This window comes from Homo sapiens, chromosome 19 (assembly GCF_000001405.40).
Source record: "Homo sapiens chromosome 19, GRCh38.p14 Primary Assembly".
In the NCBI taxonomy this organism is placed as follows: Eukaryota; Metazoa; Chordata; class Mammalia; order Primates; family Hominidae; genus Homo; species Homo sapiens.
Window position 1 is genome coordinate 41,788,081 of NC_000019.10, and position 23,806 is coordinate 41,811,886.

A 23,806-nucleotide genomic window follows, 5' to 3' on the forward strand; every position below is an offset into this window, starting at 1 on the left:
GTGGACTGATGCAGAACTCAGCAGCATAAGTAAGTAAAGTGGCCGCACCAGGCTCTATGCATACATGGGACCATTTTTCAGTAAGATTTTCTTTCTGCTAATGGGCTTCACTTTTGCCCACTTTCTAACACATCAGGACAAGTTAATAGGTTACAAACCATCATTCCATTCAGCAGTCATTTATAGAATACTCCCAAAGTGCCAGGCCCTGTGTGAGTTCAGGCAATACAAAAATGAACATAAAAGCTCCTGTCCTCTAAGATCCCCATCCAATGAGCTCCAGGGAGCACCTCTCCTACAACACGCCCCTGCTCTGCACGGCCCTCCTCTCTGCCCTCCACCAACCCAAATCCTCCTCCACCTCCAGCTCAAGTTCCACCCAACCAAGTCCCTCTCAGTCCCCCTCCACTCCTGCCACTTTGAGAGATGACTGCACTCATATCTCTAGGTTTTATGAAGTGGATGTCATCTCCCTGGTTAGACTTGAGCTTCCTGAAGGCAGAGACCATTTTTAGAATTTTCCAGAAAAAAAGCCACATCAGTAATTTGCATCAGAACAAGCTTAGACTCTGCTCAAGCCTTCAACTTAGACAGAGACTCCACTGCCTAGCACAGTCCCTGGTCCCTGCAGTGCTTTATAAACCCTGCAGTAGCAAAGTCCACAATCAACTCGTGTGTCAGTCAACAGGCTGGGATAAGTTGAAAATGCAGACAGAGAAGAACAGTCAAACAAAAATCAAAGGGCTTTGACTCATGCCTTGCCTCTTCCCTTTTCTCAGGGAAACAAAGTCACACCCCCTGCTCTCACTCCTGCCTGGAGGCTTCCAGGGAGGGCTCCCTTGTTGGCCTTCCCTTCAGCCCCCATGAATATCACCCAGCATTCAAGCCCAGCCTCTCCTCTCCCTTTGAGCACATTGCCTAAAGTCTCAAATAAATGTCAAGTTTAGTGAGTGCTGATATTCTATGCCCCTAATGTTTACTTCAAGTATTATTACCTTTCTTCTTTTGCCCGGGGCCATTTCCAAACAAGGGCTGGAGCCAGGCGCCCCAGCAGCTGGGCAAACACACTTCAGGGCTCCTTCCCTCCTGTGGCTCCTGTTTCTCAAACCCTCTGGGACCTGCAGCTCTGGGGGGTCTCTTCCCCCAACCCAGTTCCCTCCCCTTTAGACCAGAACAACTAAGCCAGACAATGGAAAGGAATTGCGAACAGAGCCGGAACAAGGCAACTTTCCAGGCAACAACGCTACTATTGCCAATATTTTGCCAAGGATGGGAGCAGGAGCACAGAGGGGAAGCAGACCTTTTCAACATCTCTTCTACCAATACATAGCATCCACTTTCCTGCCAAATACTCAGCTAGAAAGGGTCATTGAAAGGTATAAGGTGGGACTGGGCGCAGTGGCTCATGCCTGTACCCAGCACTTTGGGAGGCCGAGGTGGGCGGATCACGAGGTCAGGAGTTCAAGAGCAGCCTGGCCAATGTGGTGAAACTCCGTGTCTACTAAAAATACAAAAATTAGCCAGGTGTGGGGGCGTGTGCCTGTAATCTCAGCTACTCGGGAGGCTGAGGCAGGAGAATTGCTTGAACCCAGGAGGCGGAGGTTGCAGTGAGCTGAGATGGCACCATGGCACTCCAGCTTAGGCAACAGAGCAAGACTCTGTCTTGAAAAAAAAAAGAGAAAGAAAGAAAGAGAGAGAGAGAAAGAAAGAAGGAAGGAAGGAAGAAAGGAAGGAAGGAAGGAAGGAAGGAAGGAAAAGAAAAAGAAAGAAAGAAGAAAGAAAGAAAGAAAGAAAGAAAGAAAGAAAAGAAAGAAAGAAAGAAAGAAAGAAAGAAAGAAAGAAAGAAAGAAAGAAAGAAAGAAAGGTATAAGTCTAATCCGTTACCTAACAGCAAGACAGCATCAGTTCACTGCTTTTGCCCTCACATGAAAACAGTGTTGTGGGACTAAAGCACAGACTGGCAGGTCATGTACACTGGCCTCAGCCATCCCCAGAGATCAGGAGCCTCCGACTGGGAACCTTCCATACAATCTCCAAGCGACGTACAGCTGCACCAACAGTCACAATTAAAGTTCTAATCTCAGCCAGGTGTGGTGGTTCACGCCTGTAATCCCAGCACTTTGGGAGGCTGAGGTGGGCAGATTATGAGGTCAGGAGTTCGACACCAGCCTGACCAAAGTGGTGAAATCCCATCTCTACTAAAAATACAAACATTAGCCGGGCGTGGTGGCGTGCACCTGTAATCCCAGCTACTCAGGAGGCTGAGGCAGGAGAATCACTTGAACCCAGGAGGCGGAGGTTGCAGTGAGCCGAGATCACGCCACTGCGCTCCAGCCTGGGTGACAGAGTGAGTCTCCATCTCAAAAAAATAAAATAAAATAAAAATAGATAAATAAATTCTAATCTCTTCCCTCCTTCTGTTGCTGCCACTAACGCTGATGTCCATGGTCTCTAGCAGCCTGAATCCAGGTAAATAAGACTGTCTGTGAAGGGAAAACTGGGGGGAGAAAATGTGGCAAAACAGGCCACACGTGCATCAAAATGTAGCCCTTTCAGCCACAGAAATTGGGAGCAAGTGAGCCTTTCTCAGTGCCAGTTTCCTCATTTACTAAAAGAAGCAAACTGTACTTACTTCCATGGTCGCGAGGGTTAAATGAGATATTGTATGTGACAGTGTCTGCAACTACAGCCGGCAAATATATATATATATACACACTGGTTCAAGAAAGATTTGCTTCCTTGCCTTCTCCCCCAAGATTTTCCCAGAAAAGTAATGCACTTCCCCAGGGCCAAACTTGGTGGCAGTTGTGGGAGGATGTTAAAGGCAACTGCACGTTCATTAAAGTTAAGGAAATTTTTGCTTTCATTCCCTTTTTGTAAAGACAGGATCTCAGTCTATCACCCACGCAGGGGTACAGTGGTGCCATCATAGCTCACTGCAGCCTCAAACTCCTGAGCTCAAGCAGTCTTCCTGCCTTGGTCTCGCAAATATATATAAATAGAAGTGTACCCCACATGCCTGGCTAATTTTTTTTTTCTGTAGAGACGGGGTCTCACTGTGTTGCTCAGGCAGATCTCAAACTTTGCTTGTATTCTTTTTTTTTTTTTTTTTTTGAGACGGAGTCTCACTCTGTCTCCCAGGCTGGAGTACAGTGGTGCAATCTTGGCTCACTACAACCTCCGCCTCCCGGGTTCAAGCGATTCTCCTGCCTCAGCCTCCTGAGTAGCTGGGATTACAGGTGCACACCACCATGCCCAGCTAATTTTTGTATTTTTAGTAGAGACGGGGTTTCGCCATGTTGGTCAGGCTGGTCTCGAACTCCTGACTTTGTGATCCACCTGCCTCGGCCTCCCAGCTGGGATTACAGGCGTGAGCCACCGCACCTGGCCCACTTGTATTCTTTAGAGTGTACCAAGTATGCACACATTTTAATGCTATTTAATGGTAATGTAATAAACTGAAGAAAATCCTATCACCAGATAGTGTCCAACTTTGAAGCTTTAGTCACACCAAGCCCTGCTGCAACAACGCACCCTTTGGGAAGCAGACCTTTGGTTAAAGGTTTTGAGTTTACTCCAGTTTTCACTACAAGCAAAGTGGCCCAGACCTTTGCAAAGAAACCACCTAGAAGAGAGCTCACCCCACCAGGTGCAGTGGCTCACACCTGTAATCCCAGCACTTTGGGAGGCCAAGGCGGGCAGATGATTTGAGGTCAGCAACTCAGGACTAGCTGATTAACATGGTGAAACCACGTCTCTACTAAAAATACAAAAAAATTAGCCGAGCATGGTGGCATATGCCTGTAGTCCCAGCTACATGGGAGGCTGAGTCAGGAGAACAGCTTGAACCCATGAGGCAGAGGTTGCAGTGAGCCAAGATCGCGCGCCACTGCACTTCAGCCTGGGCAACAGAGCAAGACTCCATCTCAGAGAGAGAGAGAAAGAGAGAGAGCTCACCCCATGTATATTTCCACTTGGGAGCATCATCTTTCCAAGGGCCACTTTGAGGTGAAATGGCTTTTTTACATACTCAGCATCAATTTGGTCCTAAAATCAGGAGACATTCACCCTTCTCCACCCCAATTTCCAACATCCCCTCCTTTGTAGAGAGAGCACTCTGGAAGCCACTGAGCCCCATAGCCCTAGGGCCTAGACCACTATTCCAAAAGGGAAGACTTTTCCATTACTATGACAGACACCCAGGCTGGAGTCCTCTGCCTGCACTCAAAGCTCTAACCCCAACCTCTTTTTCCAGTGCAAACCCTTCTACTCACTAAAAATTTCTCTCCACTCAAACTAGCCTGTTTGCCCTTCCCTGAACGGGGCTTGTGTTTTCCCATCAGCTCAACTTTGCTCACATGCCCAGCTCAAAACCACATTTCCACAGGCCAGACAAGTGCTCAGTTCTTCCCACACGTAGATGAGTGCTCTGCCTCCTGAGAGCCTGCTTAGCCCTACTGGACACTGTCTTGTTGCACTTATCATCTGCTGCCTTATATTGAAGGCCTTCATATGCCTCTCCTGCCTCCACCCCCTGCCCTTCTAAATTTCAAACTCCTTGGCCGCACAGACTGGTGCACTGTTTCCATATCCCTCACGCTATCCAGCTCAGCACTTGGCAAACATTAGCTCACCACAAGAATGCATCCTCAGGTTTTTAAGTCAGACAAGGGCTTCATAGCAGTTCTATTGACATTGGGGATGAACAGTTCCTTGCGGTGGGGGCTGTTCTGTGCATTGTGAGACGCTCAGCAGCATCCACGTGGCCTCTTTCCACTAGATGCCAATAGCAGCCTTCCCTCTCTCCCGTCCCCACCCCGGTATGAAAACCAAAAATGTCTCCAAACATTGCCAAATGTCCCCTGGGCGGAAACCACCCTCAGTCCACAACCACTACTCTATACCAATAGTTCTCCACCTGGCCACACATTCAGACTCACCTGAACATTTACACTCAGCCTGGAAGTCAGGGGGACCTAGATCCAAATCCTAGCTCTGTCACTCCCTTTGCAACCCTGACAAGTCGCTTCACTTTTTTTTACCCTGTTTTATCGTCTTAAGATGAATAAATATCCCTTCTCACAATCTTGTTGTGAAGATTAAATGATCCGCAGCGTGACCTAGAAAGGGTTTAATAAATGGACTGTGTAGAATTTCTAAGTCGCTCCTAAAGCACGAGGGTGAGGAACTGCGGAAAGTTCTCTGCGCCGCCAGGAGGCGCCATCATAAACCACGTCGGTGGGTGGCCGCCAGGCTCCAGCTTTGTTTCCCAGCCAAGCAAACTTTGCAATGTGGGCCTGAGTCTGAGCTACTTCGTAGCTGGAGGAAATGACACTCCTCCTCATCCCCCAAAATAATTCTCAAAATAAAATCGAATCTTATTTTATCTTTTCATGACATACATGCTCAATATGCTTTTCACAGGGGAGAGGGAAAAAAGAAATGGATGAGAATATATGAGGATATTATGAAAGAAATCATATTTTATATGATTTATAATAGATGACTCATTACTTATAATATTACTTGTTAATCATAAAATTACTTATAATAATAGCTGACATGTTTTAAGAACTCCTGTGTCTCAGGCATTGTTCTAAGCACTTCACATTTATCTCATTTTATCCTCACAGAAATCTTATGCATTTTACATTTTTTTACTTTTCATTTTTCAGACTTTCAAAAATATTGTAAAAATAGTCAGAGTTCCAGTATATCCTTCATCCAGCTTTTTCAAATAACCTTAACTCTAAAGCAATTATCAAAATCAGTCACCTAGCATTGATACAAAAAATTTTAAAATATAGAAATATGGGGCCGGGCACGGTGGCTCACGCCTTTAATCCCAGTACTTTGGGAGGCCAAGGAGGGTAGATCACGAGGTGAGGAGATCGAGACCATCCTGGCTAACACGATGAAACCCCGTCTCTACTAAAAATACAAAAATTAGCCAGGCGTGGTGGCAGGTACCTGTAATCCCAGCTACTCGGGAGGCTGAAGCAGGAGAATCTCTTGAACTCAGGAGGTGGGGGTTGCAGTGAGCCCAGATCGAGCCACTGCACTCCAGCCTTGGCGACAGAGTGAGACTCTGTCTCCAAAAAAAAAAAAAAGAAATATTAAAATTTTGCTAATCATCCCAGTCATGTCTTTTTTCTGCTCCAGAGTCCAACCCAGGATCCCACACTGAATAACACTGTCACATTTCCTAGGCCTCCTCCAACCTGGGGGAGTTTCCCACTCTTTCCCTCTCTCAGGACCTTGATGCTTTTGAGGAGGTCTGGTCAGTTGTTTTGTAGAATGCCCCTCAATTTGGGTTTGTCTCATGTTTCCTTGGGATGTTTCAGGTTATGCATTTTGGGCAAGATTAGCACAGAAGCGATGTGTCTTTCTCAGGACATCCCAGCCGGAGCCCCAGGATGTCTATATCTCTCATTACCGATGAGGTTCACTTTAAGCGCTTGGTTCAGGTGGTGTCTGCCAGGTTTCTCTACTGTGAAGTTACTATTCATCTCATTGTAATTAATAAGTATCTTGTGGACAGGTACTTTGGAAATATGCAAATAGCCAGTTTGTTCTTAGCATACTTTTACCAATTAATTTCTAGAATCCAGAGATAATTGTAGCCGATAAACAATTCTTACTGTGGTGTTAGCCAGTGATTTTCTGCTTCCATCATTGCTTCTACACTGATTAACTGGAACGCTGCTGTAAGAAAGAGCTAGTTCTTCTTTCTCATTTATTTATGTATTCACTTATTTATATATATATCAGCATGGACTCTCAAGTATTTATCGGTTGGACTACATTACTATTATTATTGATTATGTTGCTATATTGTCCCCAAATTGGCCATTGGGAGCTTCTTCTAGTTGGCATTTGTGATACTTTCCACACATCCCCATCATTTTTCAAGTTGTGCCTTACTCTCAGGCCCCGCAAGATGCTCCAGTCTCCTCTTGTGGTTTCCTGCCCCAGCCCTGGAATCAGCCATTTCTCCAGGGAACCCTGGTTCCTTTCATGGGAGAATGATGTTTACAGACCATGGGCGCCCATATGCCCATTGCTAGTAGGTGCCGGTGCTTCTATGCCCTCTAGTGGTCAGAGCTGGGAAATAACACACCCACACTAGTGTACTGTTACCCACATTTCACAAATTAGGTAAATGAGGCACAGAAAAGTTAGGCAACTTGACCAACATCACAGAGAAAATAGGTAGTGGAACTGGGAAATGAAAATAATGACAGATGCACCACAAGTTCTAACAAGCAAAAGTAGCTTTTTCACACATCCACATCAGCAGAAAGCCACAAGCCCAATATTCCGGCGTAGACACTCTTTGAAAACCAGAATTCCACAGCAATAACCACGATGACAACCACCATGTACTCAACACCCGCCTGGGCACGGGGCTCCCACAGCAGCTCACTTATTCCCAACAACTCTGCAAGGAGGATTTTACCATCCTCCTTTTACAAATCAGGGAATCAAGGATCATAGAAGCCACGTGACTTGTCCAAGTCAACATAGTTAAGTGACAGAACCATTAGCTGTCCCCAGGTACATCTGGACATAAAGTTCATGTTTATGCCACTGTGTCAGCATTTCCAAAAACTGATTTTAGGCGAAACGTAAGTAAGCTTTTTAAAAACTTTAATACTTATGCGTTTATTTTAATATACATTGAGAAAACATTTAAGCACACATCAAATCTGTAATTTCATGGACAATATTGCATAAGACAAGGATGTTTTGTCTCCAACTCCTGGCCTCAAGCCATCCTCCCACCATAGCCTCTCGAGTAGCTGGGATCACAGATCTGAGCCACCGATCCCTGCTAGGACAGGATGTTTTGTAAACTAAATTTATTTAGAAAAAAGGATGAAATATATAATAATAAAGGTGGTACAAGCTAGAGAGAAAATCATAAAGTCAGCCTAGAAATGTCTGGTGTCTGGATGACATAAAGCTACAGCACTGTGAAGCCTCATTCTCAGTTACTCCCAGGAAATTAGAGTCACATAATGCTGCAGAAAGAACAGCTCAGAATCTTAGATCCGGGCTTTAGCCCTAGATATATCCATTTGTAGGACCCCAGACATCTCTGTGACCTCCTTGCTGGGAGTAAATCCAACCTTCCCAGACATGTGAGAACAGTAAGAAGACCCTGCACACACAAAGGAGTTTCTCCGTCACAGAGAAAATAACACCAGGTTCAGGGACCCCAGGGACTCTGCATGGTGCTGACAGACCCAAGGCCAAGGCAGAGCAGAGGTCCACGCTGGGGAGGGAGGGTCATCCTGTTATGAAACAGGGATCCAAGTAAGCCTTGCTTCTCAGAGCCTGGTCTGGGGAACTCAAATGTAGACAGAAGGGAGAAAGGAAGAAGAGAAAATGAGGCAAAACTGAGAGGGGAGGGGACAGAGAGGTGACCTGGGCAGAGCTTCACCCATGACCCTGGAAAGTGCTCCTGCCCTGGGAGGAGGCTCAGCATGGAAAGAGGAAGGACAGCAGAGCCTAAGTCACAGTAGCCCTGACTACAGCATTCCTGGAGCCCAGGCTCTTTTCCACAGAGGAGGAAAGAGCAGGCAGCAGAGACCATGGGGCCCCCCTCAGCCTCTCCCCACAGAGAATGCATCCCCTGGCAGGGGCTTCTGCTCACAGGTGAGTGGAGGATTCCTGGGAGTGGGCAAGAGGAGGGATCACAGAGAATGGCTGGGGTCTCCTGGGGAGGATGGGGCTCTGATAGGGGACAGAAGGCTTCTGCTGAAGCCTCAGGGGAGAGAACATCAGAGAGGGACACGGGTCACAACAAGACAATCACATTGAACTGGGATTGATAAGAGGGAGGAAAATCCATTGATCATGTTTTCCAAGTTAATCATTACTGGCCACTACAATTAGAAAATGATAAGAATAAGAATTACATCAGGGTGATACTTTAAATAAAAATATAACCAGGGCACTAAAACCTGTCTTTGACCACCAACCACAAGTTGCAAAATAACCACCACTCCTTAACTCATCCACCAGTATTTGCAATCAAATTTTAGGCACTGGCGTACAACAAATATCAGACAAGTCTCTGTGTTCAAAGAGCTTACACTCTTGCAGAGATGAAGATAGACACCCAAAGAGATCTAGAATGTGAGTTCAGGTGTTGACAAGAGCCCTGGAGGGAACAGAGCAGAAAAAGGTCAGAAAGGGAAGACCCAGGGTCTCTAGAGGAGGTGTCAGGGGAGGGATCTCCCAAGGATGCCCTGATGTGAGCAGGATCTGAGGGCAGTGGGGAGGGAGCCATGCAGACCCCTGGGGAAGGGGATTCCACACAGGAAAATGCCAAGGTTAGAGGTGCTGAAGAAAGAAAGGTCACGTTACTGACCTTGACCAAGTGGGACACACATACACTCTCCAAGGCTGAAGGGTGAAGAGACTCTCTCAGGACCCAGGGCCCCATCTTTCCATCCCAATACATGGGTCCCAATATTGACTGATGCTTTCTCCCTCCTAGCCTCACTTCTAAACTTCTGGAACCCGCCCACCACTGCCAAGCTCACTATTGAATCCATGCCGCTCAGTGTCGCAGAGGGGAAGGAGGTGCTTCTACTTGTCCACAATCTGCCCCAGCATCTTTTTGGCTACAGCTGGTACAAAGGGGAAAGAGTGGATGGCAACAGTCTAATTGTAGGATATGTAATAGGAACTCAACAAGCTACCCCAGGGGCCGCATACAGCGGTCGAGAGACAATATACACCAATGCATCCCTGCTGATCCAGAATGTCACCCAGAATGACATAGGATTCTACACCCTACAAGTCATAAAGTCAGATCTTGTGAATGAAGAAGCAACTGGACAGTTCCATGTATACCGTGAGTATTTCCACATGACCTCTGGGTGTTGGGGGTCAGTTCTACTTCCCACATATGGGATTGTCAGGCCTGGGCTGTGCCTGTGGCCCTCTCTGCATTACATTCTGTATCAGGGTTTGGACATTTAGTGCAGGACACACACGGGGGAGACAAACTTCCACAGATCAGAATTCCTTTCCTGCATCCAGACCCTGCAGACACTCGCTGCAGAGGAAGGACAGTCTGATGGGGGGACTCAGCAGGGCAAGGTCAGTGTCAGAAAAGAACCCCATGGTCTCCCCATGGACCTGACCCTAAGAAAGACCCTGGAGAACTGGATCAGGGCCTGGCCTGAGGGGTCCCCCTAGGATTCTCAGAGAGAAGCTCAACTCTTCCCAGAACTGAGCCCCTGTGCAAATCCCTGTCCCAGATTCCTGACTCCAGGTGACCCTGGGGACCCTAGGGATCCTGTGCCAGGGCTGAGTGAGGCCTCCTGGGCAGGGCTGACTGGGAGCAAGAATTTACCAGCTGTCTGAGGGTCGTGGCTCCTGGAGTTGGTCACCAGCCAGGGTCCAGCCCCAAGAACCTCTCCTGGGCAAGGACAGGGCCTCATCCTTTACCTGAGACTCAGCATGGAGTGAACAGATGGACAAGATTACTAGGGCATGAGCCCACTGCCCAGGGGAACTTAGATGACTCCATGGGAAGTTCAGTATCCCCAGGGGGAGGAAAAAGAAGAGAGAAGATGCTCCCAGCAGCTCCTTTTCCACAAGGGATCAGACTCAGGGACCTCTCTTTTGGAGGCAAATAAGCATAGATGCTGTTCCTTTGGGCAGCTCCTCTATACACAGCTGAGGTCAAGTAATTGTAAATATTTTGAGATTAATTCACAAACAACGTCACAGCCAAATAGCACTTATCCTACTTATTGAAAAAAAAAATTGAGGAACAGGGAGACAGTCACCGACTAGGGTCACACAAGTCAAAGGTGTCAGATTAGAGTCACACGAGGTCTCTCTGCAGCCACAGCTGCCTCTTCTCCACCAGGGGACGGCTGGCGTTATTATTAGACATCTGCAGGCCTGAGACCAGTCCTAAGTTCTCTTTCCTTTTTCTTGGGCATCCACATCTCAGAGGGGGAGATTTTGGTCTGGAGAGTAAGGGGCAAATGGAAAATTAATCAATTTTTCCTGATATAGTTTGGATGTTTATCCTCTCCAAATCTCATGTTGAAATGTGATCCCCAACATTGGAGGTGAGGCCTGGTGGGAGGCGATTGGATCATGGGGGGCTGTTTCTCATGAGTGGCTCAGCACCATCCCCTTGGTGACAAGTCAGTTCTCACTTTGAGTGCACAGGAGATCTGGTTCTTTAAAAGTGTGTGGCGCCTCCACACTCTCTCTTGCTCCTGCTTTTGCCACATGACACCACCTGCTCCCCCTTCTCCTTCCACCATGATTGTAAGCTTGCTGGGTCTCACCAGAAGCCGAGCAGACGCTGGTGCCATGCCTGTATAGCCTGCAGATCCCTGCATCAATTAAATCTCTTTTCTTTATAAATTACCCAGCCTCAGACATTTCCTTATAGTAACAAAAAATAGCCTAACACATTAGCCTAACCTAGAACTAAATCCCTTGTGTCAACAGAGTCAGTGCCAGGAATGTCCGGGCCTCCCTCTCAGATGCGCACCACTGCCCTCACTCGACCTGAAATCCTGTGTTTCCTGATGTGTCAGTGACACTCCCACAGGAGGATAAAACACTCCCCACTCACACCCTGCACCAGCGCAGGGCCCAGTGAGAGACACACACTCAGTAGTTCTCTGACGAAGGAGGGAAGGAATGAATGATGAATAATTCTTAAACTCTTCAGAGACCGGATCTTGGATGCAGAATCCTATAAGGTTCTGGCCACACCTGTTTCCTGTCCCTCCAGGGGCCGGGATCCTTGTTGCATTCCTCTAACCCCTGCCCCTAAAGCTACCCCAAGAACCGCATCTCATGGGACTCTGGCACAGCTCACCTGTGGGAAGGTTTTCAGGTCTCCCTGGTCCTGGTTTGTGGGCGGCAGGTCACCCAGGCGCCGAGGCAAGAGACCAAGGACACGAGCTGTTCCAGTATAATAAAATATAAAACAAGAAAAGTTATACCAGATATAGATCTTAGATATGATTATATGTGAATATCATTAATCATTAGTTGGTAGCAATTACTCTTTATTCCAGTATTATAATAATCCTCGCTCTATAATCACAACCTAGGAAAAGCCAGGCCATACAGAGATAGGAGCTGGGGAGACATAGTGAGAAGTGACCAGAAGACAAGAGTGCGAGCCTTCTGTTATGCCCAGACAGGGCCACCAGAAGGGCTCCTTGGTCTAGCGGTGACACTAGCGCCTGGGAAGACGCCCGTTGCCAGGCAGACCGAGGTCTAGCGGTAGCGTAAGTGTCAAGGGAAAACACCCGCTACTTGGCAGACCGGGAAAGGGAGTCTCCCTTTCCCCGGGAGAGTTTAGAGAAGACTTTGCTCCTCCACCTCTTGTGGAGGGCCAGACACCAGTCAGGTCCACTCGCAGTTATCCGGAGGCCTAACCGTCTCCCTATGATGCTGTGCTTCAGTGGTCACGCTCCTAGTCCGCCTTCACGTTCCATCCTGTACGCCTGGCTCTGCCTTCTAGATAGCAGTAGTAAATTAGTGAAAGTACTAAAAGTCTCTGATATGCAGAAATAATGGCATAAGCTGTCTTTCTCTTTGTCTCCTCTCTCTCTCTGCCTCATCTGCCAGGCAGGGAAGGGCCCCCTGTCCAGTGGACACATGACCCACGTGACCTTACCTATCATTGGAGATGACTCACACTCTTTACCCTCCCCCTTTTGCTTTGTATCCAATAAATAACAGCGCAGTCAGACATTCGGGGCCACTACCAGTCTCCGCGCATTGGTGGTAGTGATCCCCCCGGGGCCCAGCTGTCTGTTCTTTTATCTCTTTATCTTGTGTCTTCATTTCTACACTCTCTCGTCTCCGCACATGGGGAGAGACCCACCGACCCTGTGGGGCTGGTCCCTACACTGGTTCTAGAATAACCAGGGGTCTCCTGGTCCCTAGGGTCTCTGAGGTCACTGTAGTCCCCACAGCTCACTGTGATGTAATCTCTGGCTATCTCTGCTACCCCTTGTCCCTTATCTTCCTCCCCTTTCACACCAGTGAGGATGCCCCTGCCCTGCACAGCTTCCTCCACCCTTAGGTCTTCCCCAGGAACTCCCTCTAACAAGACTGGCTGTTCTGTTCCCTTCCCACTCACACTGTGGCCTGGCCCACCTCCGGGGCAATAAAAAAAGGCACAGAAATCAGCTGGATCAGAGCCCCTGCCAGGCTTCATCATGAGCCAGTGTCCCCAGGCCACCAGGAGAACGAGCTTCCACTGTGTCCCCACCCAGGGCTCTTTCCCTTCTTGAGGCCAACATGTGGAAAAGGCCACAGGACAGGGACGAGCGACTCCTCCACCTACTCTTGTAATTTCCCAGCAGGTTTTTCCTGCCACTGCACAGACAAAACCAATTCACTGAGACCACGATATTGCAGTCAAGAAAGAGTTTAATTAATGCTAAGTAAGCCAAACAGTAAGACAAGAGTTTATTATTACTTAAATCAGCCTCCCTGGAGGCTTGAGATTAGAGTTTTTCATGGATAGTTTGATGGCAGGGGACTAGGGAATGGGGAAAGCTGATTGGTTGGGGATAAAATCATAGGGATGTGGCAACTGATCCTGGTGTGCTGAAACTGCCTCTGAGTGGGGGCCACAAGACCACTGAATCATGGGTCACAGTCCAGGTGGAGTCAGTCAGTTGCCAGAATGCAGAAGTCTGAGAAACATCTCAAAAGACCAATCTCAGGTTCTACAATAGTGATATTATCTATGGGAGCAATTAGGGAAGTCACAAATCTTGTGACCCTCCCATAATGCTGATCTCGTAATGTTTCATTAGTTTACAAAGGCAATCCCTGACAAAGAGGAAGTTAGTTTTAGGGAGGGACTATAATCATCCTTGCTTCAAAGTTAAACTATACACTGAATTTTTCCCATGGTTAGCCTGGCTTGTGCCCAGGAATGAGCAAGGACAGCCACCTTGAGGCTAGAAGCCAGATGAAGTCAGCCATGCTAGCTTACTCTCGCCATCTTAATCCTTGCAAAAGTGGTTTCACTCTCTACAATGACTCACCAGGGGTCAGAGGCAAGAGGAGAGGTCTGCAGTCCCCAAAGCTCATGGCTCATTTCACCCATTTCCCTCCCGACTCCACCCTCATTCAGCTATGGGGCTCCCATCCTCCAGTCATTCCCTAGAGACTTCTGGTGTCCAATTTGGCATGTAAGAAGCTTGAAATCTGTCACTCAGTTATAACAAGTATAAAACTGAACAAACTGAAAAATCAACAACTCTTTTAGATCCCTCAGAGAAGCTAGGCCTCGGTGTTAATTGCCCCGCATATTGGAGAGACCGACAGGCAAAGATGGAGCAGCACACCTCACCTGGGCAGAAGCCCAGGGACAGAAACCCTGCAGAACCAGCGCTGGGGTCAGAAATCTGAACTGTAACTGACAAATTGCTGGAGGCTCAGCATGGACATGCCCCAGAGTTAAACTAAACACTCCAGGGGAGGGATCAATCTTGGGGCTGGGACAAGGAGGGACTCTTTTGTGAGTCTTAACTCCTAGAGCTACCAGATTCTCATAGTGAATAGGCAACAAAGATCCCCTCCTCCTTCCTGAAGCGGGAGGGGGAAAGGAATTATTTGGAAAGATCTCCGTGAATTCTATTCTTCTTAGCAACAGCTGCCTTTAAGAGAAACTTTTACCAGAGCCTGACCTGCTGGGGTTTTATGGGAGCCTAACTGGCCTGGCAGTGGGTAAATGTCCAACTCCAGCCCCCTGTAGCCATCATGTCCCACCTAAGGGGGCAAAAATACAGAGAGTCACTTATGAAGTTCACAGCCCAGGCTGCAGACCTCATCCAGGACCACAGAACCCTTCCCTCCCAACACTCACCACAGCGTCACTGAACACCTGCTCACCCAAGTTCCTTTTACCCAGAATATCATGTCTGGCTTTCAACAAAACTGCACAAGACAGACTAAGGCAAAAACAAAAAAAAATGCAATTTGAAACTCAGAACAACAATCAGAACCAGACTCAGATGTGGCAGGGATGTTGAAATTAGCAGAACGGGAATTTAAAACAACTCTGGTTAATACAGTAAAGGTTATGATGGAAAAAGTAGACCCCATGCAGGAACAGATGGGTGATGTAAGCAGAGAGATCGATATTCTAAGACAGAACCAAAAGAAATGCTAGAGATAAAAAAAGAAACCCTCCTGTAAGGTAAATGAAGAATGCCCTCAATGGGCTTACTGGTAGCCTGGACACAGCTGAGGAAAGAATCTCTAGCTTGAGGGTGTGTCAGTAGAAACTTCCAAAACTGAACAGCAAAGTTTTGTGTGTGTATGTGTGTGTGTGTGTGTGTGTGTGTGTGTGTGTTGTTTTGTTTGTTTTTTTTTTTTTTGAGACAGAGTCTCGCTCTGTACCCCAGGCTGGAGTGAAGTGATGCTATCTCAGCTCACTGCAAGCTCTGCCTCCTGGGTTCACGCCATTCTCCTGCCTCAGCCTCCCAAATAGCTGGGACCACAGGCGCCCGCCACCATGCCCGGCTAATTTTTTGTATTTTTAGTAGAGACGGAGTTTCACCGTGTTATCCAGGATGGTCTCGACCTCCCAACCTCATGATCTGCCCGCCTTGGCCTCCAAAAGTGCTGGGATTACAGGCATGAGCCACCATGCCCGGCCTGAAACAGCAAAGCTTTAAAAGAGTGGGAAAAGGCCGGGCGTGGTTGTTCATGCTTGTAATCCCTGCACTTTGGGAGGCTGAGGCGGGTGGATCACCTGAGGTCAGGAGTTCGAGACCAGCCTGGCCAACATGATGATACCCTGTCTCTACTAAAAATACAAAAAATTAGCCAGGCATGATGACAGATGCCTATAATCCCAGCTACTCAGGAGGCTGAGGCAAGAGAATTGCTTGAACCTGGGAGGTAGAGATTGTAGTGAGCCAAGATAGCGCGATTTCACTCCAGCCTGGGCAACAAGAGCAAAACTCTGCCTCAAAAAAAAAAAAAGAGTGGGTAAAAAAAGTGGAAAAGCAGATTCAACTTCACATTCAAGATTTTGTATTGACAATGGCATATTTTATATTTTCTAAAAGCTGTAACATACATGTAATGGGAATACTGGTGGTTCCTGGGACCAGGTGGAGCTGGCCAGCCCTGTGCTGTCTGATGGGCCCACTGCTTGTTCCACACACATGTGTCCCTCATGATGATGCCATTATCATAAGATGGGGTCTTCGGGTGGGGAGATGCACCAGCCACCGGCATCTCACTTAGACTCTGCCCAATTCGGGCTAATTTAATCAAATTCTAGTTGTGTTTCCTGAGGCGTAAAGAAAAGGAGGAAGGTGTTTCATATGCCTGTTTAGGCCCCTTCCTATTTTGCCTAACTCTGCACAGGAAATTGAGGTGAGGGCTCTTTTGACATTTACTGACATACACACATCACATCTCCTAATTTGGTATTTTTCTTTTCTGTGTATTATTGAGACATCTCAGACTTTCCCTCTGACCAGTTCTGTCTTCCTAACAGGACTCACAATTCTCTCTCTACCCAGAGAGTCACTGATTTCAAACCAAAGTCAGCATCTTTCTTTGAGCTTAACATGATTATGCTGGTCTTCAGCATTTAGCAGACCTAAACCTTATTATGTTATCAAGAGAAATGCTACAGCAACCAATTGACCTCAGACCTTTCGACCATTAATAATAATTTCCACTGATAGAAAAAAAATTAATTTCCCCCAAATTTCTTTTTTTTTTTTCACTATAGTGAGATCATAACTCCTTTGTCTAAACTCCTGACAAATTTTTAAGGGCAAAATGGACTATTACAGATGGAGAATCCCAAATCCAAAAATCCAAAATACAAAATGTGCCAATATCCAAAATTTTTTGACCACTGGCATGATGTTCAAAGGAAATGCTCACTGGAGCATTTTGAAATTTTAGATTTTCAGATTTGGGATGCTAAACCGATACTTGTAATACAAATATTCCAAAATAAAAAATAATTAGAAATCCAAAACACTTTTGCTCTTATGCATAAGAGATACTCAAACTCTATTAATTATAGACACCAAGCTGTACAGCAGATCTCTAGAACCTCCATATTTTGCATAATTGAAACTGCACACCCAAGGAACAACTCCCTGCCAGCCCTTGGAAATCACCACTCTGCTCTTTTATTCTTTTTTCTTCTTTTTTTTTTTTTTTTTTTTTTTTAGATAGAGTTTTACTCTTGTCACCCAGGCTGGAGTGCAATGGTGTGATCTTGGCTCACTGCAACCTCCGCCTCCCAGGTTCAAGCAATTCTCCCTAGCCTTCTTAAGTAGCTGGGATTACAGGCATGTGCCACCACACCTGGCTAATTTTTGTATTTTTAGTAGAGACGGGGTTTCACCATGTTGGCCAGGCTGGTCTGGAACTCCCGACCTCAGGTGATCCGCCCGCCTCAGCATCCCAAAAGGCTGGGATTACAGGCATGAGCCACCGCACCCGGTCTGCATTCTACTCTCTGATTCCATGAGTTTGACTACTCTAGGGACCTCGTATTCGTGGAACCGTACAGTAGTTGTCCTTGTACGACTGACTTCTTTCACTTAACATAATCTCCAATGGGAGAAAATATTTGCAAAGATTCTTCCCAAATGTCTCTCTCATATCCATCAAACACAGAGTCCATGAGGACCAGATTGCCAGCAGCTTCATGCTCCCTCTTTCCACCAGTCAGTTCTGCATTTGCAAACGTTCATATGTATTTCTTATTAAGTTCCACGGAGTCCTCACCTGCCCTCTGCAGGAGGAGAAAACACATTAAGGACTGAGGACAGAGAACATGGTTCTGCTCCAAAGCCACCAGCTCCTGCATGTCCCCGCCCTCTTTCTAAGTTGGGATTCTACTCTTCCTGTTGTTGTTGTTTGTTGTTGTTGTTGTTGTTGTTGTTTGTTGTTTGTTGTTGTTACGGAGTCTTGCTCTGTCACTCAGGCTGGAGTGCAGTCGTGTAATCTCGGCTCACTACAACCTCTGCCTCCCAGGTTCAAGTGATTCTCCTTCCTCAGCCTCCCGAGTAGCTGGAATTACAGGCATGCTCCACCACACCCAGCTAATTTTTGTATTTTTAGTAGAGACTGGGTTTTTCGCCATGTTGGTCAGGCTGGTCTCGAACTCCTGACCTCAGGTGATCTGCCCACCTCGGCCTCCCCAAGTGCTGGGATTACAGGTGTGAGCCACCGCACCCGGCCTTCTACTATACCTTTTACTGACTCACTGTCTCATGTCAGTCACCATGATATACCTGGAAAGAATAACCTCACCTTGTAATTCTGAGACCTCAGCACCAGCATGTTCCAGGTGAGGACCCCAAGGTCAGCCAGGCAGTCAGCCATCAGGGAAGGAACAGGAGAGGTGCCAGGGGATGTGACTCCTGGTCCTGTGTCTGTCCAACACCCAATGCTGCTGCTTAATTCACAGTTGAGAAAGTCTCTTCTTCTTTCACAGGCAGGCAGCCTCACAGTCTCTGAGCCCTCAGACGGTCATGCATCTGTCTGTGACACACACATCTGTCTTCGTCTTTTTTTGTTTGTGTGTTTGTTTGTTTGTTTGCTTGTTTGTTTTGAGAGACAGAGTCTCACTCTGTCGCCCAGGCTGGAGTGCAGTGGTGCGATCTCGGCTCACTGCAAGCTCTGCCTCCCGGGTTCACACCATTCTCCTGCCTCAGCCTCCCAAGTAGCTGGGACTACAGGCGCCTGCCACCATGCCTGGCTAATTTTTTGTATTTTTTAGTAGAGACGGGGTTTCACCGTGTTAGCCAGGATGGTCTCGATCTCGTGACCTCGTGATACGCCCGCCTCGGCCTCCCAAAGTGCTGGGATTACAGGCGTGAGCCACCGCACCCGGCCTTGTCTTGGTCTTTTAAGGAGTGGAGTTGGCCAAAGAATAGGAGATGTTGATTCTGATTAAAATATGCCTGTGGAGGAATCACAGGTGCCACACAGGGCAATCTTCTCTCTGTTTTCTGCACAGCGGAGCTGCCCAAGCCCTCCATCTCCAGCAACAACTCCAACCCCAAGGAGGACAAGGATGCTGTGGCCTTCACCTGTGAACCTGAGATTCACAGCACAACCTGCCTGTAGTGGGTAAATGGTCAGAGCCTCCCGGTCAGTTCCAGGCTGCAGCTGTCCAATGACAAGAGGACCCTCACTCTACTCAGTGTCACAAGGAATGACACAGGACCCTATGAGTGTGAAATACCGAACCCAGTGGGTGCCAGCTACAGTGACCCAGTCACGCTGAATGTCCTCTGTATCTTCTGTTCCTCTGTGGCCCAGGCTTCCAGCCCAAATCCACACAGCCAGAGGCCAGGCCTCTCAGTCCCTCTCAAGTCCAGGGACTCAGACTCTCACCCAGGCTGGCCATCACTTCCTGTCCCAAGCAAACCTGGGCAGACCCAGCCTTGACCAAGAATAGGAGGGGAGAGGCTGCTCCTGTCCTGGGAGGCTCAGGGTCCACAGCCTGTGATGGGAGAAACAGGTGAATATCTCAGACCCAGACTCAGTGGACAGATTGGGTTTCGTTAGGACTTCAAGGTTGTGACTTGGCTCACAGGGACACTGTGGCTCTTCCACAGACCAGGAGCTTCCCCTTCCCTTTGATGATATCATCTATGACTTTATTCTCGCTACTCCAGATGGACCGGGCATTCCCACCATTTCCCCCCCAGACTCCTATTACCATCCAGGGGCAAATCTCAACCTCTCCTGCCACATGGCCTCTAACCCACCTGCACAGTACTCCTGGTTTGTCAGTGGAATGCTCCAGCAACACACACAAAAGCTCTTTATCCCCAACATCGCAGTGGATAAGAGTGGATCCTATGCTTGCCTCGCCCATAACTCAGCCACTGGCCTCAGTACAATCACAGTCAAGACAATCACAGTCTCTGCTAAGTGGATCCCTGGAGCATAGGCCCTGAGCCCTGGGTAAAGCCACTCAGTTTTCTGAAAGAGCCTAGAAGTTTATTTCCCAGCCCATGTCTTGGACACAAGCAAATCCCAAACTCTACCCTGAGCCCTCTCACTCCACCTCTGCAGGACCCCTCCTCCCCTTGTTGTTCTGATTTCTCACAGCTGACCTTGGGGCCAGCCTGGAATGTTGTACAAATTTTGTTTTATCACTTACGAGTTCTGTGACCTTCCTTGACTTACTGAGGTGCTTTAAGTCTCAGATTCTAACTCTGCAGCTGGGGGTGATGCCCCCTCTCCCTCAAGGTGATGTAAGGATGAGATGAGTTGTAGGTAGGTTGGTGCCCACTGGAACTGGCACATGGAAGGCCCCTGAAAACAGTCAATGAACATCATCCCTGCTTATCAGCATTGAGTTGATGCCAAGGGCCTGCCCTTTGTGAGTGTCATGGGATGGAAAAGGAGAAACAGAGGGAAGAGGCATGATGCGAGAGGAAGGAGGGACTAAAAGGCACAGGAGCAGGGTGAGGTGCAGGCACCTCTGGGACAATGTATGAGTTGGTGCCGCCCAGTGTGTCAAGCCTGCAGAAAATGGTGCCACCATGGAAAGCAAGGGAATCTGTGATGAGGACAACACAAGAGACTACACTCAGGCCCCATGGCATCTCCTTCTTCCCTGACTGCACACCTTCCCTGCAAGGCCCCTGTGGTTTCCTCTGGGATAGACTTGGGCCTCTATCCCCTTTGCCTTCTTCTTTCTGCAGAAGAAAATGCCCCAGGCCTTCCTGTGGGGGCCGTCGCCGGCATCGTGACCGGGGTCCTGGTCGGAGTGGCGCTGGTGGCCGCGCTGGTGTGTTTCCTGCTCCTTGCCAAAACTGGAAGGTACCACAGCTTTTTCCCATCCTTCTCCCACCCCCTAGGCTGACTCCAGGCCAAAAGAAAGGAGACCTTGTCCTGTATTCAGGGCCAGGCTCTCCACGGCCTCCCAAGTCCCCAGGGATCCTTCCCTCTTATTCCACGGCTCCTCCCTCGTCAGCTCCTGACCCTGGGTTGCTGCCTCAACAGCTTCCTCCTCTGTGAATTTGGCCCAATTAAGGCCCCACCCCTGAGTGTGGCCCTAGTTCCCTCACACAGCAAAGCCACAGCTGCCTGGAGGGAGGGAGAGAAGGAGGGAGGGAAGTAGGGAGGGAGGGAGGGAGGGCGTGCTCTGTACTTGGTACCTCCCATTGTTCATTGAATCCATCCACACAGTGAGGGGGATTTGCAGGCTCCGGATCCTGGGCACCGTCACACAATGGGGAGTGGACCAGCCTGGACAGGCTGGGTGGGGTCAGTGCCCCCCATGGCTGATGTGGTAACCATAGGCCCTGAGGTGTGAGATGGGAGAACCTGGGCCTCAGAACAGCATGTCCTGGAGCGTCCTTTGTGTCTCTTGCCAAGGGGTTGAGAGAGAGGACAAGGACACTGTCCCATTTCAGCATCACCAGCCCTGAGTGCAGGGTCTGGCCACAGCAGGGACACTGAGTTCCAGGAGAATCCAAGACACTTGCGGTCCCCTCCGTGTCCTGCACACGTGGCCCTGCTTTGCCTCTGGGGACTTGACCCTTCCTCTCAGGCAAACCCTCGTGGTCTGTTTCCTTCCTTGGGTCCTCAGTCCCTTTCCTGGGTCCCTGGGTCAATGTTCTCCTGGCCCGGCATCTGCCTGAGGGTCCTTCCCCTCTGCTCAGGACAGATGTGGGTTCCTAAAGCCTTTCCTCAACTCCCCTCTGCTGGGCTCCCCCTAACACAAACCTGAGGGAGACAGGAGGTCTCCATGCCCATCCTTGAAAATGGGTTTCCCTTCTTGTCCCCTGTTCGAACTCCAAAGTTGTGGCTTTTAACCTGGCACCCTCCCAAATGACCCTGACCTTTCCTAGAACCAGCATCCAGCGTGACCTCAAGGAGCAGCAGCCCCAAGCCCTTGCCCCTGGTGAGTGTCCTCTCAGCCCAGGTGTGGCTGGGAACCCCTAGGACAGCCCCACAGTGTCCGCTCCTGCCAGTCACTGCCAGGCAGACTCTGATCCTTTCCCGGGGGCTGCAAGGAGGATCTCATAAAACATCACACAGGGGACCCCAATTGCTTGGGTCAGCCCTCACCTGTGGGCTCTGGGTCATGGGTCACCTCCCCAACCTCAGCTGCTCAGGTATCTTAGAGCTGAGGACCCCCTACGCCTTCCTGGAGAGGGGATAAGGCTCTCCTCCCACCCTGCTGCTCACTCCTGTCTCTGTTTCCAGGCCGTGGTCCCTCCCACAGCTCTGCCTTCTCGGTAAGCCTGTCCCCTTCCAGCCCCTTTCTACTGGGGTCCCAGCTGTGCAGGCTCTGGGCAGAGGGACCATCAGCCCCCCAGCACAGAACAGACCCACCTTCCCCCAAAACACACAGGACAAGGCTAGCCCTGCCCTGGCCAGGAGCTGGGCCTCCCTACAGGGTCAGGACCACCCACGCCCTGTGCTGACCCCTCCCCGGGACCCTCCATCACCTGAGGAGACCCCTGGAGTGCAGCAGGTGCAGAGTGGACACTGGGACCATCAGTCAGGGGCCCACATTAACAAGGGTGCAGGGTGGGCCCAGCCAGGAAAAGGGTCAGGGTGCTGTGTCCACACTGGGAGGCTGAGCTCAGGGGCAGAGCTGGTCACTCCTGAGGGGAAATGACCAGAAGTAAACACAGAGAAGTAAATCCTGGCCAATCAGAGACAGGAAACTTCCAGGCTGGGCCTCCATGACCCTCCCTCCCTGTCCACAGATGTCCCCTCTCTCCACTGCCCAGGCCCCCCTACCCAACCCCAGGACAGCAGCTTCCATCTATGAGGTGAGTGTGGGCCACGGATGTTCTGGTCCCACAGGCCCCAGGGGACCCAGGATCTTCCCCTACTGGCATCGGCTGAGCTCTGAGATTCAGGAAACTGCTGTGAAAATAAGAACGGGGGTGGCGAGCAGAGGAGGGAGGGGCTTGGGAGCAGGAACCCCCTGAGCACAGCCAGGTTCAGCCCCAGAGCAGCCCTGGATGGGCCCAGAGCCTGGGAGACGCCACACCCTGTTCTGAGGAGACTAGAGGGGTCCAGGCCTCTTCTCTGTTTTAACAGGAATTGCTAAAACATGACACAAACATTTACTGCCGGATGGACCACAAAGCAGAAGTGGCTTCTTAGCTTCCTCCAGGAGCTGCTCCTGTGTGTTGATGGAGAGTCCCCAAGGCCCCCAGCCCTGGGGATGGGGAAGGACATGAAGCCTGAGCCAGAGAACCAGCTATAAGTCCTGAGAAGACACTGGTGTCTGGGGGCAGGGAGGGATGGGGGTCCCTGATGAATATCTGGAGACCTCGACAGCCTGCCCTAGGCCCTGGGTGGGTCAGGACAAAGGCCTCTCATCACCGCAGAAAGCGGGGGCTTGCAGGGAAAGTGAATGGGCCTGTGGCCCACCTGGGGTCACTTGGAAAGGATCTGAATAAAGGGGACCCTTCCTCTCATTAGCTGTTTTTCTGCTAGTGGGAACTTAGCAAAAATTCGCCTGAAACTCCATATCCATTCTCTCCTGGGTCACACAAGGAAAATGTCATCTCCAACTTATTTCAACCCCAGTCTCTCTTCCCTGGGAGGCAGAAATAGGGGGTTGGGAGTCAGGCTGGGGTGGACCCTACACAGGAAAGGGCAGGATTCACAGGAGACCTGCCCAGCCAGCTGAGCGCTTGGCTGTGCTCATACTGCCCCAGGGACCCACGGTGCCTAGCCCTGGCCACTGGGTTTCTTCTCTGTCCAAAAGGCCAGTGCTCAGGACATCTTTACCCATATCAGGGGACAC

At 49.2% G+C, this 23,806-nt stretch overlaps 1 protein-coding gene and 1 pseudogene across 3 annotated transcripts; both read left to right on the plus strand.

Annotated features, from left to right (window-relative positions):
• The first annotated feature begins 8,506 nt into the window (after nucleotides 1-8,506).
• On the plus strand, nucleotides 8,507-23,474 carry CEACAM3 (CEA cell adhesion molecule 3). 3 transcript variants are annotated; one of them, NR_102333.3, is made up of 8 exons: nucleotides 8,507-8,661; nucleotides 9,509-9,868; nucleotides 19,031-19,537; nucleotides 20,736-20,850; nucleotides 21,885-21,937; nucleotides 22,243-22,274; nucleotides 22,752-22,817; nucleotides 23,092-23,474. NR_102333.3 is itself a non-coding variant. In NM_001815.5 (7 exons), the coding sequence occupies exons 1-7, from the start codon at nucleotides 8,598-8,600 to the stop codon at nucleotides 23,155-23,157; spliced, it is 759 nt and encodes a 252-aa protein (NP_001806.2). In that variant the 5' UTR covers nucleotides 8,507-8,597; the 3' UTR covers nucleotides 23,158-23,474. The 3 variants fall into 3 exon arrangements, 2 of the variants coding, with proteins under 2 accessions (NP_001806.2, NP_001264092.1); NM_001815.5 differs by lacking the exon at nucleotides 19,031-19,537 and having other exon boundaries at nucleotides 20,733-20,850; NM_001277163.3 differs by lacking the exons at nucleotides 19,031-19,537; nucleotides 21,885-21,937 and having other exon boundaries at nucleotides 20,733-20,850; nucleotides 23,144-23,474.
• LOC100422623 (CEA cell adhesion molecule 1 pseudogene) lies at nucleotides 19,031-19,953 on the plus strand (annotated as a pseudogene).
• Nucleotides 23,475-23,806: the final 332 nt, after the last annotated feature.